Source organism: Homo sapiens, chromosome 9 (genome assembly GCF_000001405.40).
Source record: "Homo sapiens chromosome 9, GRCh38.p14 Primary Assembly".
Lineage (NCBI taxonomy): Eukaryota > Metazoa > Chordata > Mammalia > Primates > Hominidae > Homo > Homo sapiens.
In genome coordinates, this window is record NC_000009.12 from 91,772,224 (window position 1) to 91,790,143 (window position 17,920).

The window sequence follows — 17,920 nt, forward strand, 5'->3', positions numbered from 1 at the left end:
CCTACCCTGAGACTTCTGGGGGGCAGTTCACTACAGATCCTGTCCCGCTAAGAGTGCTGATGATCCACCAATCATCACGATGGTGATGCTAACAAATGGCGCCAGCATCAGCTACTGTTTCTAGGTGCTTGCAGTGAACTGAGCAAGCCCTTTCATCCCGCCTATGCTGGGGGTGCTCCCATCTTGAAACTGTGCTGAGAGCAGTGCCATGCCCAAGGCCCTGACCCCAGGGGGAAGGGTGAAGCCACCATTTATCCAGGCCCATCCTCTTGCAAACCCAGGCTCAGAACTGTGATACTATACTACTCTATCCTGCTACTGCAAAGAAAGGCAGCCCGGCCTTCTGTGGTTCTTTGCTTTCTTTTTGTACTACCCTTTCATAAACATGCATGTATGTACAGATGTGCCCACTTGACGGGCCACCTTTAGCGTCCGTGTTTCTGTGCTCTGGACAGGTCCGAGGCAAACTTCCAAACTCTGTAATCAATCAACTCCTTTCGGTCATGGGAACGCACTGAACACACATGGTTTTTAAACCATTCACTTGTGGGTTAACAACAACAACAAAAAAGTCAAGAGATTATCAAATCCCAACAAACAAAAAGCACGGTAGAAAGCATTCTATTCTACGCTTGAGAAGTTGCTCCACTCCCAGAAATGGAACTGAGAGAATCCTACCTTAGAGCACTGAATTTGACTTATAAATGCCAGGAGCTTGCAGCATCCAGGGAATAAAATTTTCTGTCAAATTTCATCTGATGGTCATTTTTTCACCTTGATAAGCAAATGCATCTTCCTAAGTGCATCATGAATATGCAGCTGTTTCTGCCTCGCAGGGTTATTTGTGATCACTCCACTTAAAGAACAGCTCCCATCCCACATGCAGTCCCAGGGCCCCTGCAGCCCTCTGCTCCAGAAGCCTTGGCACAGCCCCGCCCCAGGCCCACAAGGAAGCCCCCGGGTGAGAGGTTTGCAGCGCATCTGAAACAAAGGACTGCAATACATTTTCCCAAGGAAATATCAGAGTCTATGGAATGACTCAAGTTGGATTCTCGGCCGTTAATATGGCCTGTCTGCTTCTCATCACTCGCCCCCTCCCCCTCAACTGCATCCTCTGCTTCTCCTCAAACCGTGCTTCACAGCTGCCGTGTGATTTTTTCACAGAGTAAATCAAACTGCACCACCCCCGACACCAGACGCCCTCAACAACCGACAATCAAACACAAATTCCAGGACCTAAAGTGCTGTGCAGGGCGTAGCCCAGGGCTGCCCCATGAACTTTCCGTGATACTGGAACGTTTTAGATTTGTGCTACCCATTGTGGGAGCCTCTTGCCAAACTGAAATGTAGCTAGTACAACCAAGGAACTGAAATCGTAATTTTATTTATTCTAACTGACTTGAATTTCAAGAGCCTTCCAGCTGCCCTATTGAGATTCATGGGTTCAACCCCGGCTGACTCTGACCTCCACCTTGCCCCAGCCCATAAGCCAGGCATCTCCCCTGCGGTACCACCATGACACCAAGTCCCGCTTGACCCAGGGCCCCCACTGGGCTTCGCACACACTTCCCTCTCGTTTTCACTTGGCCAGTGTCCACTCTTCAGATCTCAGCACAACCATCTGTGCCCAGATCAAGAGATGTGTTCCTCTTCTACCCTCCCAAAACCTGATCTCTTCCTTTAGGCCACTTGGCCACAACTCAGAATTTTATCATGACCTGACAGCTTGCCTTTCCCCAGACCTGTAAAATCCACACAGCAGAGAGCACAGTTCAGCCAACACGTCCTAGGATCTTGCGCAGAGCCAGCTATGGGGACAATCAGTAAGTATCTGTGGTCTGTCTGCACTGTGGGTTAAGTCAGGCTTTTGAGAAAGAAGTTGAGAATCTAACCAACAAAAACTATTTTTCTTCCTAAGGAAATGTGGTCCCCAAGGCCAGTGTACTAAACAAGCTTTCAGAGCATGCGTTTACTACATTTAACATCCTACAGAGGATGGAATCCTCTTAAGCCTCCAAGCACCAGGCACCAGCCTCACTGCCACCCTGCATGCTGGGCAGAGCTCCACCTGCTCTTGGTTTTAAACAACTGACCTCCATGAGGAAGCTGTGCAGAGCCACTCTGTAGATTGGACAGAAATAAAGTGGCTGTTCTGGCAGTTGATTGTTATGGACTGAGCAGTGGTGCCCCCCAAACCCATAAGTTGAAGCTCTATCCCTCAATGTGATGATATTTGCAGGTGAGGCCTTTGGAAGGTAATTAGGATTAGATGAGGTCATGATGGGGGTGTTATGAAAACACCGGGATTCGGTCTAGGTCCTCCTGCTCCCCAAACAGAAAGCCAATCACTGAAACAACAAGCAGTGCCAAGGAAAAGGATTTTAATCGGCTTTAATCAGGTGCTGCAGCCAAGGAGATGAGAACTCAGTCTCAAATCCATCTCCCCAATGGACTAAAATTTGGGGTTTATACATCAGAGAAGAAATGTAACTATGTGTGAGAAAACAGGAACTAGGGAGGGGTAAGGAAGCAGACATGATGAAGGAGGGCCTGGAGAAGCATGATTCGATACTTTTTTGAGGGGTCTGGGCATCCTTTTCCTGAAGAAGGAAGTCAAGATAAAACAAATGTAAGTTTCAAACTTTAAGACCAGAAGGGTCAATTTCTCTGTTTATCCCAAAGAACCGCCTATAGGACTATTGGGTCGGTTTCAGCGGGGCCTCCATGACAGGAATAGTGTCCTTATGAGAAGAGAATCAAACAGACCTCTGTCTCTCCACCGTAAGAGGACACAGCAAGGCGGCAGCTGCCTGCAAGCCAGGAGGAGGGTCCTCTCCAGAACCCAACTGTGCTGGCACCTTGATCTTGGACCTCCAGCCTCCAGAACTAGGAAGTGTGTGTGTTGTTTCAGCTTCCTGGTCTGTGGTGCTTGCTAAGGCAGCCTGAGCTGACTGAGACAGGCTATCTGTGGCTATGGGGTAACACTATATGCATTAGCAAACACGTCAGTTCCTCAAGCCACAGGTCTGCATCCGGGGGAAACTTGTTCTATTGACCCTACAAATCTATGGTGCATTCCTGCAAGGTGTGCCAAGTGAGCATGGCTCTGACCACAGGCCCAGGGGAAGAACTGAAGCCACAAGACAGAATTCCAGGTGGCTGGGAGGAGGAGGGCCGTCCATCTGCCCACTGAGACGTACACACACCTCTGGAGTCACATGCAACAGGAATCCAGCTCCTAAGGCTCCGCTCAGGCCCTTTCCCCATCTGCCAGGCCGCCATCTGTCCACCCATGCCTCCCTGCGTGTCACCTCCCACCTGTGGCCCCAACAGGCCCTCAATGCCCTCCAAGTCAAGAAACACAGGAATCAAGGTGGCATTCCACCATACCCACCACCAGGGGGCACCAAGGGGCCAGAGGACCCCCAGCGCCTTCCTTCAGGCAATGGCAGTGCAAGATGAGCCTCAGCACAGGGCATTTGGAGGACATGGAGAGCACCTGCATGTCCCAGCTCACCTTTCAGAGTTGGAATCGGGCCGTCCTGCCCATCAAGGGGTCCTAAAGGGTCGTTCGGATCCAGAACCTCCACTTCACCTGGGAAAAAGAAACCAGGATAGGTATTAAACAAGTTTTCCTTTCAGGAGCCTTTAATTTGCTTCTTATGCAAAGACAACAGCATTCTAGCAAAACTACCCAGTATTTGTAGAAAACACAGAGGGATAAGACATTATGGTAACCTCTAGAGGGATTTTATAGTGATATAAAGATATGATGTAACAGTAAAAGTGATTTTGAAGCTTATCACAAGAATAGCAAATGCGGGGGCTTTGCAACACAGGTATGGAAATAAGTCAGTGGAGCCTGGGCTTCATTCAGAGAGGGACAGAGAGCGGGAAGGAGAGGGAGAGAAAGAAACCAAAGCACTGGCTGGCAAAATCAAACACTTCTGTAGCCAGATGCCGCAGACTGCCCTCCAGATGGAGGTCCTGGTAACTGGGTAATAAATTCAGAGTTGGAGAATTTCTTAAGCAACTCATTCCCCTCCCCATCCCCAGACCCACTGGCAGCAGCCAAGTACCCACCCCACAATGTAAAGGACATAAATGGGCGCTGTGGCTTTTCACTTCCATTCTTCCTATCATTTCTAGTCCAAATTTACCCGTCCCCAAAAGCCAAGCCCTGAGCCATCTTTCATAAAATGTCCATGACCAGCCATTTAGAAGAAAAGTTTCTATTCTCTAAGTCTCCCTGCAAACCATACACCTCTCCCGGGGCAATCCTACCATTCTTCCTCAGGTTAACAGTTGCATGCATTTTACTCTTCCTCAACAATAGGTAAACCACATGGGGACAGCTGGTGCTGCACCCCTGGGGGAGGACGAGTGGTCCCATCATGGAAACCCAGACAGAAGCACCTCCTGCTACATAACAGAGGCTGACATCAGCTATGCAAGGCAGTCCATGGACTTCTGCTGAAGTATTAAAGACTTCAGTTTGGATTTGAAATTTTACATCAGCACATTACACACACCATCACTCAGCACTGTTTAAATGTAGAGAGACCACATGAAATCAAACATACTTGCACTATATACACACATCGAAAAGAGACAAAAATTATTAACTGCTTAGAAATTGACAAATGGTCTGAAACACTCAAATAAATACATACCCCAAAGAAAAATAAGCTTCACTAGCCCAATTTCCCTGTGGAAAAGAGTCCTAGCTCTTCCCAAGTCAGCTTCTAATTCAGAAATGGAGGCATTTTCACGTGTGGAAATTTCACTTCCTCTGCCAGTCAAATGTGGTTAATAAACTCAGCATGTCCAATCACGAGATCTTTAGAACTGACACTTTAAGTTTCAACAAAACTAGGTTGTTATTGCTAATCTGAGAAACTAAGACACCACTTATATTTCGAAATTTTAAAGTGTTATCTTCCTATACTACATAGTTTGGGCTCACTCCAGATACTGCAGCCTTCTAAAGTCAATAAGCAAAATGTGACAGGAAGTATGTGAACTAGTAGAATGGGTACAAGTGAAAACAGGGCTCAGTGTTTTCAGCAGAACCCAATAGGGTTTCTCCTAACCCGTAAAAAGAGCTAAGAATACCACCTTTCCTCCAAAATAAACAAAACATGGAAATAATAACAACAAAACTGCCACACACACACACACACACCCCATCATCATCATCATCATCATCAAAATGTTATTATTAGTTATCTGGAATTATAGGTAATTTAAATTTCTTTTATTTCCATTTAAATGGCTCTACTGTGAACAAGTATCAATTTTTTAATGGTGTGTGAGACATAATTCACACACTATAAAATTCACCATTTTAAAGTGTGCAATTGAGTGGTTTTCAGTACATTCTCAAGGTTGTGCAACGATCACCACTATGAAATTCCAGAACATTTCATCATCTCCCCAAAAAACCTCATTCCCATTAGCAGTCATCCCCCCGCCAACTCTATCCTGTCTCCTTCAGCCCCTGGTAACCACGAATCTGCTGTCTCTATGGATTTACCTATTCTGGACATTTTCTATAAATGAAATCATATAATATGCAGTATTCTAAACAAGCATCAATTTTATAATTATACTTTTCAAAATGCATGCCCTGTAGTAGCAAAAAGAAAAAAAAAGAAGAAAGCATGCTGTACCACGGGATTAGTAAACAAGGCCATTAATTTGGCTCACTCAGACCACTTCCCAGACTCGGGGGGTCTGTCTCCACAAGGAGAAGGGGATGTGGAAAACATACATGAGGCCGCAGAGATGACTGAAGTATGAAAGGGAGGAACTACCCCAAAATGCCAGAGCTACTAGGATTGCTGCTCCCAAGGTGGGGCAATTTAGGAGCAGCCAGGCTGGCCTGGTAAGGAGACCTGCACATGCCCTCACTCCTGCTGCACACAAGCTGGGAGGAATGGCTGGTGACTCGCAGGATCAGGGAACACTTTCAACTTGGCCAGTTTAGGGGCCACCACAACGGATGTTGCAATGGGTACACATACTGAGCACGTGCTTCTGCACCTAATGGGCTATCATCGTTCCTGACCGAATGACTTTGTGACAACCTCACAACACCACAACTTGCCTTGGTGGTGACTGCCAACCCGATATGGCTGGTGAATGATCACGGTCGTGCGCCCTGCAACATCTCCTCGGTGCCTGTCCTGAGTCATTCTTTACATAAAGGCCTTTTCGGTTTTCACCTGGTGCAGGCACCCTTGCACCCCAGCTAGATGATGAGCTCACCAGGCAAGGTCCCTGTCCTCGTTAGTTGCCTGGATTTAGCTGGAGGAGCAAGAGAAGAGGCCACGTGGCCTTCTGGACCATCAGAAAAGAGATTCTGAGAGGAGATTCATCTGTCCTGACTCTTCAGGACTTCAATATATTTTTCTCCTGAATATGAGGACACTACTCTAGCCAAACCCACACGTCCTCCGTTTGGGTAAAATGCTCTTAAGTGTGCCCTACATGACCATCAAGAATGTCATCCGTATGACAGGCACAGTGCCCTGACTTTTCTCCGCTGGACCTGGGTCATTTTCACTGTAAAAACATCACAGAGTGGCGAGGTGAAGCCAGAGGGAAACTCAACCCTTGGGTAGATGAGTAGGGGAGTAGTGATTTATAAGCTTCTTTTAGTTTTTTGATACTTTTTAAAGAGAGGAAAACATTTAATATGAAACAAAAATTTAAGTGTGGCTGGTATAATGAAATGACACATTCAATATCTAGTTTTATCCATGTCAAAAACACACATGACACTCTAGAAGCAAAGACTAAATATAATGTGGTATCCTGGTCAGGACCCTGGAACAGAAAAGGGATATTAGGTAAAAACTAAGGGAAAATGAATAGTGTGAACGTTAGTCAAGAATAATGCACCCGTATTATGGGGCAAATGTACCATGCCAAGGTAAGGTGTTAACAATAGGGGAAACTGGGTGTGGGGTGTGTGGGGGCTCTATGTACTGTCATCACAACTTTTCTATAAATCTAAAACTAAAGTAAAAAGCTTACTGAAGAACAATTACACATTTCCATCACCTTGTTCAATCCCTTAAAACCAAGGCTCACAAGTAGAACTGCATAAAACATTCTACCTCCAAACACTTATACTTTTCTTTTTTTTTTTTTTTTTTCGAGACAGAGTTTCGCTCTTGTTGCCCAGGCTGGAGTGCAGTGGTGGGATCTCAGCTCACTGCAACCTCTGCCTCCCGGGTCCAAGCGATTCTCCTGCCTCCGCCTCCCAAGTAGCTAGGACTGCAGGTGCCCACCACCACGCCCGGCTAATTTTTGTATTTTTAGTAGAGGTAGTGTTTCACCATGTTGGCCAGGCTGGTCTCGAACTCCTGACCTTAAATGATCCACCCACCTCAGCCTCCCAAAGTGCTAGGATTACAGGCATGAGCCACCGTGCCACCGTGCCTGGCCAATACTTTACATTCTTAATGATGCAATCCCTGGTAAATGGCCTCAAAGCCAAGTATGCACCCTAACCCTATGAACAGAATCTGACACAGATTCACTGGATTTAATATGTTATTCAATGATTTATACAGCATGCTGGCAAATATTTAGAAATTAAAACATTTTGGAAAATGTTGGATTTTTCAGCTGAGTCCTACAGGAATTGTCATTGGCATGGAGACATCAGCTCTTAAGCAGGAATTTGTAGCATATTCTTGGAAGCACTTTATGAATGTCTTGTATATTCCAGGCTGAACCAATTGGTGTCTACAGAATGGCCAAAGTGAAAGGGTTCACTGTTGATAGGGATGATGCCCGGTTGCTGTTAAGAGAGTCACATCAGGCCTGCAATAGCTGGAGGTGCAGATTCTGAAGAATTAGAAATTATATAACCAGGCCAGGCACAGTGGCTCACGCCTGTAATCCCATCACTTTGGGAGGCCAAGGCGGGTGGATCACGAGACCATCCTGGCTAACACAGTGAAACCCCGTCTCTACTAAAAATACAAAAAATTAGCCGGGCATGGTGGCAGGAGCCTGTAGTCCCAGCTACTCGGGAGGCTGAGGCAGGAGAATGGCGTGAAGCTGGGAGGCGGAGCTTGCAGTGAGCCGAGATCACGCCACACTACTCCAGCCTAGGCGACAGAGCAAGACTCCGTCTAAAAAAAAAATGAAAGAAAGAAAGAAAGAAATTATATAACCATCAAACAAAACTCTTCTGAAAACCTTCTTTCAACACAGACCTCTGATGTGACATCTTGATTTATGGCATCAACAAGATAAGATTAATTGGGCTGGCGTGGTGGCTCATGCCTGTAATCCCAGCACTTTGGGAGGTCGAGGCCTCGGGTGGATCACCTGAGGTCAGGAGTTTGAGACCAGCCTGGCCAACGTGGTGAAATCCCATCTGTACTAAAAATACAAAAATTAGCCAGGCGTGGTGGCAGGTGCCTGTAATCCCAGCTACTTGGGAGGCTGAGGCAGGAGAATCACTTGAATCTGGGAGGTGGAGGTTGCAGTGAGACAAGATGGTGCCATTGCACTCCAGCCTGGGTGACAGAGCAAGACTCCATCTCAAAAAAAAGATAAATTTATATCTGCAAAGTAGCAAGCACGTCTGTTCTGATTCCAAGGCTCTACCTCTAGTATCACAATCATTCTCTCATTAACAGCAGTCACACCATTAAGCAAGCATTTATTAATGAAGTTTCACCTATGCCCTTGGATTTGAGTCCATGGTGCTATTCTGGTTTTGATTTGCGTTTCTTTTAAACATGCTTTGTTATTCAGACTGTTCATCCATTCATCTCTTCACCTGTTGATCTGAATCGGTATGCTTACTGTGATGCAATTAGATGCAGTCTTCAGGATGTTCAGACAACTTCAAAGCAGCCTCTTTTTAATTAGTAAGGGTATTTTATTCACCAGAGCTTGGCATTCTTGGATTTGGTTGTCCTCATGTGAAGGTATAATTTGCAGGATGTGTTTAAGAACAGAAGTCACGGCAGGGAAAAAGCACAGCCTGAGAAAGTGACGGTGCTGCAAACCAGACACCCCCTGAATGAATGGCAAGGACAGATTTCACAATGAGCTACGCTGCGAGCAAGCTCTGTGCACCCACTGTCCCACTTGCACGTGCAAATGTCACTCATGTGTTCCACAACAACTACTCAGCTCGGCAACACGTCAGATCGAAAACACCCATGATGCTAGAAAGGCAACAGTTAAGGAAGAAAAGTTAAAAATTGGGAAGGAGCAGCGTATAAAGTCCCGAAAGGGTAAGGCCATTATTAGTCTGGGACCTGGGTCAGGAGAAGTATGTCAATAGCAAAGAGCCTTGAGACTGTTTCGGGGAATGCTCTTACTAAGACACTGCACCCTGTGTTTCAATTGCAGCTAGAAAACCAAACAGCATTCCAGGTGGGCTGCCAGTACCTAATTGGTAGTGGTCTTAACAGTCTGTAATTTTTTATTTTCATTATTTCTAACTTTGAGTTGAGTAAATACTAGCCTCTGTTCTTATATTCCTTCAAGGGCTGGCTTAACTCTACTTTGGAAATAGGGAGTTAAAACTCATCAACTTGAAAATGGAGTAACCGTTTCACCAATTTGAACTTTGCTGTGATTCCACTTCTAAAGCAAACGTATTAAACCTCCAAGTGAGTCAATGTACCAGCCCAACTCCCTTCAATATTGCCTTCATAAAGCTCTTTCTACTTTCTGTCTCTGACAGCCCCCAGAGCCCCCAACAAAAGCCCACTGTCAGGGGCCAAAGGAATATTTAGGTGAAGGGGGAGAGAGGCCACTCAGGCAGCTGAATTGAGGCCTTTCACAGACCTTCTCTCTTCCCAGCATCCACAGCCCTGGCAGCGGTGAGCCTGGCCGGGCTGGGAGGCCAAATGCCGCACCTCCACCCCCACCAGATACAGTGAGAAGGTGAGGTCCCCTCCCTGTGACAGGGAGCTGAGGCTTGCTTTCTCTTAAGTGGCTGCTTGTTTCTGCACCAAAACCAGCAGAAAAGGAGCAAACAGAAATGCTAAGTAAAGGCTCCAGGTTTATTGTATCTTTTCATCTAGTTTCAAGGAAGTAGCTCTTGAATATTAGTTACTCCCATGCATACAAAAGGTTACTTTGTCACCTTGAATCTCTGGAAAGTTTTTAATTAAAGGGAGGGATGTAAAAAAGAAAAAAAAAACACCCTGATTAGAAAAGAAACTGCATTATCCTTTGGCAGCAAAAGCAGATGTCTTCCATTTGCTTAAGGCTTTTCAGGGGTGTCCAATCTTTTGGCTTCCCTGGGCCACACTGGAAGAAGAATAATTGTCTTGGGCCACACGTAAAATATACTAACACTAACGATAGCTGATAGCAAAAAAAAAAAAAAAAAAAAAACCCTCATAATGTTTTAAGAAAGAAGTTGTGTTGGGCTGCATTCAAAGCCGTCCTGGGCTGCATGTGCCACGGGTTAGACAAGCTTGCTTTAAGTTAAGGCCAGGTCTGGAGCAGGCTCCACCTCCATCAACCAGGAATCCAGGTCCCAGGCCATGTAGCCAGAGGCTAACCCAGAGGGGGTTCAAAAGCAGAAGATTCTCTGGTAGCCAGAATTTGCTTCAGAGTCTTGGAATCAAACAGGGGTAAATGTCTGCTATGATCACAGGAAGTAGCAGTGATTCTTTTTAAGGCAGCTTCTGTGTTGGTTTCCTAAGGCAGCCACAACAAAGCCGCACAGATGGGGCAGCCTAAACAATGGAAACGCCTTGTCTCAGTTCAGGAGGCTGGAAGGCCAGGATCAAGGTGTCAGTAGGGCAGGTTCCTTCTGCGGCTGGGAGAGAGGATCTGCTGCAGGTCACTCCTTGCTGGCAGACCATGGCTTCTCCTTCCATCTCCTCATTGTCCCTCCATGCACACCGTCTTTCCGTCCAAATCTCTCTTCCTACAGGTCACCAGTCCCATAGGATGAGAGCCCTGATGACCTCCTTTTACCTTAATTACCTGTGTAAAAACCCGATCTCCAAATAAGGGCACATTCTGAGACACAGAGGACTAGGACTCCTGTGTTTCTATTTTCAGGGACACAATTCAACCCATAAGGGAAAGCATTATTTGTCTTCAAAACTTAGTGCTGACTTGAGAATGACACACACAATGGCAAGGCTCAGCCTCACAGTGAGTGCCTCGCTGAGAAGGGATGGATAGGCTCTCTGGGCTAAGTACAGGTGTGCTGGGACTGCTCGCATGCCCAGGAACTGCCAACTTGTTAGTGACTCTAGTGCCCCAAACCCCTCCCTTCTGAGGCCAACTCTCACTTATATGGAAGCCACCTCCAACCCTCACAGCCATCTGCTGAGACCGGCAGTCCTCCCACTTCACCCCTCCAGGGTTTCAGCTGCAGCTGCAGCCCCGCCCTAGGCCTAGTCTTGTGCCCAAATGAGCTTTTCAGCTCTTACCTCCTTGGCTGACATTTCTTTTTCTCATAATATTTACACCAATGCCACTCCACGGCTCTGCGAGCCTGGAGGGCACACCAGGGATGGAGGTGGAGTTGGCCTTCTGCAGCCTGACTGCTGTGGGTAACGACCCTATTCAGCATTCACACAGCCCCCATTCCACGCACATCGTGCTCACAACCTCCCCACTCCACTGCCCACGTCTGGATCTTTTCCTGCCTCCACCCGCTTGTAAGTCTGTCCTCCTCCCCAGTCCTCTGAATGGAAAAGCTTTCCCTCTCTTTCCATCCTGACTCCTTGAGGGCTTGCTTTAAATAACACCAGAACACCTACAACTCCCAAACCACCTGTCCAGGCCAGACCGCTCCCCTGAAAGCCAACTCAGAAATCCCGCCACCTGCTCACACCTCCACTTGCATGTCCAGGAGACACCATGCTTGACCTGTCCACACCACAGCCCGGCCTCCCGTTACACACCTGTGCCCTGCGGAGCTGCCCAGCTGCAACAGTGCTGATTCCACCCTGCTCCCAGCTAAGGCCACAAGGCTGGAGTTCGTCTTGACTCCTTTCCTCTCAAATCCCACACCCAATCCATCACGAAATGCTGTTTGCTCTATCTGCAGAATGTATCAGGACCTGCCCTGCTAACATGCTGTGGGCGACTGCAGCACCCCCTGGCCCCCACCTGCTCTCCATGCAGCAGCCACAGGAAGCCTCTCAAAGGGGCTTCAAATCCTGTCACCTACAAAACATGGGTGAAGTTCAGATGCATCAGGTGGGGTGCAGGAAGCCAGATACAAAGATGCGTGCTGTGCAGTTCCACTCACACTAAGTTCAAAGGCAGGCAGACGTCATCCGTGGTGATGGCAGTCAGAACACAGTTGGCTTCAATGCCTGGGTGGGAGCAGGTTGCTGGGAGTTGCTGGTGTGGCTGCTGTTAGTGGGTGTATATACCACGTTAACATTCATCAAACTATACACTGGCAATTTATGTACTTTTGTAGACGTAAATTACATTTACAAAGTTTACCGAATTTTTAAAAATCTTTCTCATACAACACTACATCCTTGAGCAAGGCCCTCCCTGGCCCTACTCAAAATGTCAAATACTTCCCTCCACATGTACACACAAAGTCCTAACCTAACCACTCCCAACTTGCTTTTCTGTTTAACTTTTCCCTTAATGTCTTCCATGAGGTAACTGGCTGTTTATTTTTCTGTCTCGCCTTCATGGGGCCAGGAGATTCTATCTGTGTGCTCACTGCCAGCCCCAGCACCTGAAGAGCAGCATGCAAGTTGCTCATTAGGTGGATGAATGAATGAATGAATGAATGCTCCTGTACTCAGTACTTTCCAGCATCTTCCCACTTGCTCAGAGGAAAAGCTAGCTCCCTTCACTAGCCCTACACACATGGACATGGGTACACACACGTATACACACACACACACAGAGTTTGCTCCTGGGGTGGCCTCCACTCCTCATCTCTCCCTCCCTTAGCTCCAATTCCAGCTGCTCCCCTGCAGTTTGCATTTATTCTTTCCTCTGCCTGGAAAATGCTTCCCCATATGTGCATGTGGTTCGACGCCTCACTTGTTTCAGGGTCCCTGTGCATATGGTTCACCCCTCACGTTGTTTCAGGCCCCTGTTTCAATGTGAGTTCCTACACAAGGCCTCCCCTGGACAACCTGAAGCCTACTTAGCCCTACTCTCAGACTGCTGTCTTCCTTGCTGTATTTCTTTCCAGAGCACTGTGTGTGCACACATGCATCTGGTTCACCATCTGTCTTTGCATCAGAATGAAACTCCAGAGTCTAGGTGATGGTGGTCTGTCCCACCCCTGGAATAGAGCCCAAGATGCACTAGGCACTCGAAAAATATCTGATGAGTAAACAAATACTTTGGTGACCACCATCATGTTCATTTTGCACGAGGAGTCTCTGAGTTTTGGCTCACTGTCTGAAGGCTGGGGCCAGGACTCATATCTGCTCCAGATGTGGGGTGGTGCCTGCTACACCAGAGGCCAATGACAGTGTCACAGTTCAGAGCCCCTGCGACACGGCTCTGTGGCCCTTGAGATCTGCTGCAGGGCATGGGCTCCTGTTCCTCCACAACACTGGAGAGCACTGACCTGCTCCACTGGCTTTGAACCTGAAATGCCCCGAAATTCTCCAGGAACTGTGGCAGGCCCAAGGTTCCACAATCTCTCTGACAACATCCCCTTTTACATGTGCATATATATCTTTACAACTCCAAAGAAACTCCCATAACTTTAAAACTCTACCATACACTACTCAACCATAGAAAGAGCCAACTGATACAACATACACACGACAGAAGTGTCTCCAATACATTTCACTAAGTGAAAGAAGCCAGACTCAAAAGGCAATATAGCTGGCACCCGTGGCTCATGCCTATAACCCCAGCACTTAGGGAGGACCACTTGAGCCTAGGAGTTCAAGACTAGCCTGGGTAACATACGGAAACCCTGTTTCTACCAAAAAAAAAAAAAAAAAAAAAAGCCAGGTATGGTGGTGTGCATTTGTGAACCCTGACACTCCACAGACTGAGGTGAGAAGATCGCTTGAGCCTGGGAGGTTGAGGCAGCAGTGAGCCATGATCATGCCACTGCACTCCAGTCTGGGCAACAGAGCAAGACTCTGTCAATCAATCAATCAATCAATCAATCAATAAGTAAATAAATAAATAAATAAATAAATAAATGGGCAATATACTAGAGAATCCACTTCCAGAGTGGCAGAGTGATATCTAGGATGAACTTGCTCTCTGCTGACACCAACAAAAATATGAGGTGAAAATTGTCTGTTCAAGGGAACCTGCTGAACCTTGATAAGAAGGTGGGTCTGTGACCAGTTAACCTGGGCTACTCCCACTGCCCCTCCCTCCCCAGCTCAATGGTGAAGTAGCCAAGGCCACCAACCTCGCAAACAGTGAGAGACTCCACTTGTGGAGCTCTGTGAAAAGTACTGGCCCCATAACAGAGTCAACATTTTGTCTGGACTTGCAGCACTCTGGGAAATCTCTAGATTCGCCTCAGAACTCAGCTGGGGGCGGAGGGGTAGGGAAGGTGGCAGATGGCAGATACCCCTGGGGCATTATGAAAACAACAGCAAACTGCTGGCAACCTCAGCTGCCTAGAGCTGACTATAACTGCAGTCAACATGAGCCTGACCCTGAATTTAAAATGAAATCCTAAAGAATTAGAGGAGCTACGGAACTTCAAAAGCTCTGACACACTCCCGGGGAAGGGAAGAGGTTGTATGCATGCTCAGAAAAGACCTGGGACAGGAGAGGACACCACAGTCACTCCTCTCTGGGTGACAATGAGACCCTGTGCAATCCGGAAATGAAAGCTGAAGCCGTCTTTACAAACTCCCTGAAGCTGGACAGCATGTCATCTCCGTCTCATACAGATCTTTGATGAAAGGTGTCAGAAACACAGGCAAGGCATGTATGGAAAGGAAATGTGAACAGTGACTGGCTAATTATATACAATTATACTGGCTCAGATGTGACCCCACAGAATCCAGGGTTTAAAAATAAAAAGAGGCTGGGTGTGGTGGCTCACGCCTGTAATCCCAGCACTTTGGGAGGCTGAGGTGGGTGGATCACTTGAGGTCAGGAGTTCAAGACCAGCCTGCATAATATGCTGAAACCCCATCTCTACCAAAAATACAAAAATTAGCCATGAGTGGTGGTGGGTGCCTGTAATCCCAGCTACTCAGGAGGCTGAGGCAGGAGAATCACTTGAACCCTGGAGGCTGCAGTGAGCAGAGATCAGGCCACTGCACTTCAGCCTGGGAGACGGAACAAGACTCTGTCTCAAAATAAATAAATAAATAAAATCTTTCTTTTTATTTATTTATTTAAAAATTAGCAGATAACTCAGTGGTCACACATTACAGGAAATACATAAACCAGAGAACTAGTCAAGGAAAGCTGCTAAACTAACAGTAACGAGGCAAACACCATCAACCATCAAATAAAAAACAAAAAGAAAAAACACAGCATCAACAACAAACTTTGAAGGGTATGGTGATTTGCTACCTGAATTGTCCAATTTTTAACAGAGAATCACAAGACATGCCAGGAAACAAGAAAGTATGTCACATGCACAGAATGGGGGGGAGAAAGTGGCCAACAGAAAATGTCCCTAAGAGGCCAAGATTTGGGACTTAACAGACAAACACTTTATCAGCACCACATGCTAACCAACTGAGCTAACCAGCCATACAACAAAGACTTTAAATAGGATGTTATAAATATGTTCAAAAAAATAAAGAAAAGGATATGTGAAGAATTTTAAATTACAATAACTTTATCTTCCTGAATAGAGAATAGTAATAAGGTGATTAAAAGCATCAAACAGAAATTCTGGAGTTGAAAGTGCCATAAGTGAAATTCACTAGACAGACTCAACAACAGATTTGAGCAGGCAGAAGAAAGAATCAGTGAACTGGAAGGCAGGTCAATAGAGATTATCTAGTCTGCAAAGAAAACAGAATGAAGAAAAATGAACAGAGCCTAAGAGACCCATAGGGCACTATCAAGAATACCAACACATACATAATAGGAGTCCAGTAAGAGAAGAGAAAGAAGGAGAAAAAAATACTTGAAGAAAACATAACTGAAAACTCACCAAGTTTGATAAAAGTATTAATTTACACATTTGAGAAACTCAAAGAACTCCAAGTTGGATAAACTCTAAGATATCCACGACCAGGCACATCATAGACTGTTGAAAGACAGAATCTTGAAAGCAGCAGGAGAAGCGGTTTATCTCATAAAAGGGATCTTCAATAATGTTAAAAGCTGGCTTCTCATCAGAACCCAGGGGGACAACACAATCATAGTGTTGGGGAAAAAAAAAAAAAGATTTTTCAATCAAGAATTCAATATGCAGGCCAGGCGTGGTGGCTCACTCCTGTAATCCCAGCACTTCGGGAGGCCGAGGTGGGCAGATCACCTGAGATCAGGAGTTCAAGACCAGCCTGGCCAACATGGTGAAACCCCCTCTCTACTAAAAATACAAAAATTAGTCAAGCGTGGTGGCGGGCACCTGTAATCCCAGCTACTCAGGAGGCTGAGGTGGAGAATCGCTTGAACCTGGGAGGCGGAGGTTGCAGTGAGCTGAGATGGTGCCGCACTCCAGCCTGGGTGACAGAGCGAGACTCTGTCTCAAAAAAAAAAAAAAAAAAATCAATATCCAGCCAAACTCTTCTTCAGAAATGAAGGACAATTTAAAAAGGTTGATCATAGAAGTAGAGAGTAGAATAGTGGCCACTAAAGGGTGGGTAGGGGAAGGAGAAGAAAGGATTGGGGGAGGTCGGTCAATGGGTTCAAAGTTACAGTTACAAAGAGTGAGTTCTGGTGAGTAACAATGTAATGTATACTTCACGATAGCTAGAAGAGAAGTTTTTTAATGTTGTTACCACAATGAAATAATAAATGTTTAAAGTGATGGACATGGTACTTACCCCAATTTGATTATTATACAATGCATACATGCACTGAAATATCAGACTGTGCCTCATAAAAATACAGAATTATTGCATCAATTTTACATAAAAATTAAATTTAAAAAATGAGAAAATCTATCATTAGCAGACTACCCTATAAGAAATAGTCAAGAGTCCTTCAAGATGAAATAAAAGAACACTGGATAGGAATTTTATTCACATGAAGAGATAAATAAAAGAGTACTAGTAAAGGTAACTAAGTAGGTACTGTGAAAGACAGTATAAACATGTTTTTTTGTAATTCTTTTATTCATTTACTTGTTTTAAAAGACTACTGCATTAAGCCCCAATTGTAAGACCGTGCTGATGGACTAATAGCACATCAGATATAAAGTCTATGACACTAATAGTTCAAAAGAGAGGGAAGGGAAGCAAGATATTTTGCAGGAAAATTTTTGTATGCTACCAAAATTAAGTTAGTACTAATCCAAACTAGATTTTAAAAAATTTAAGATGAAGTCACTAAGAAAATAACCCCATCAAATATATATAAACAAATAATAAGGGAATTTTAAAAGTATATTAAGAACTATCTAATGCAAACAAGGGCAGAAATAGAGAAATAAAAAAGACACAATTATGACATGCAGAAAACAAGTAGCAAAATGGTAGAAGTAAAGCGTACCATATTGGTAAGTAAGTTAAATGTAAGTGGGTAAAAAAGGCAAATCAAAACACCAAGACTGGCAGAATGGATTTAAAAAAAACACTACCCAAACATAGGCTGCCTACAAGCAACACACTTCGAATTCAAAAACACAAATAGGTTTAAAAGATGTATCATAAAACAACCACCATGAGAAATCTGGAGTGGCTACACTAGTATCAGACAAAATAATCTACAGTCATGTGCTCCATAACTAAGAACCACATATAAAACAGTGGTCCCATAAGATTACAATGGAGCTGGAAAATTCTTATCACCTAGTTACATTGTAGTGTGA

General features: G+C 45.5%; 1 protein-coding gene across 9 annotated transcripts in view, besides 1 other annotated feature; it reads right to left on the reverse strand.

The window, feature by feature from the left end:
* ROR2 (receptor tyrosine kinase like orphan receptor 2) overlaps positions 1 to 17,920 on the reverse strand; it is a 227,628-nt gene that overhangs the window by 49,623 nt on the left and 160,085 nt on the right. For all 9 annotated transcript variants that reach the window (NM_004560.4, XM_005252008.5, XM_047423436.1 and 6 more), the window contains one exon: positions 3,518 to 3,595. In NM_004560.4, the coding sequence (NP_004551.2) occupies positions 3,518 to 3,595 (78 nt within the window). The remainder of the gene's footprint in view (positions 1 to 3,517; positions 3,596 to 17,920) is intronic.
* Positions 9,922 to 10,421: an enhancer, noted in NCBI's record as "H3K4me1 hESC enhancer chr9:94544427-94544926 (GRCh37/hg19 assembly coordinates)". NCBI's record gives its function as "activates a minimal SCP1, AML or CMV promoter by ChIP-STARR-seq in primed H9 embryonic stem cells {active_cell/tissue: H9 hESC(primed)}" and the evidence as "EXISTENCE:reporter gene assay evidence [ECO:0000049][PMID:30033119]".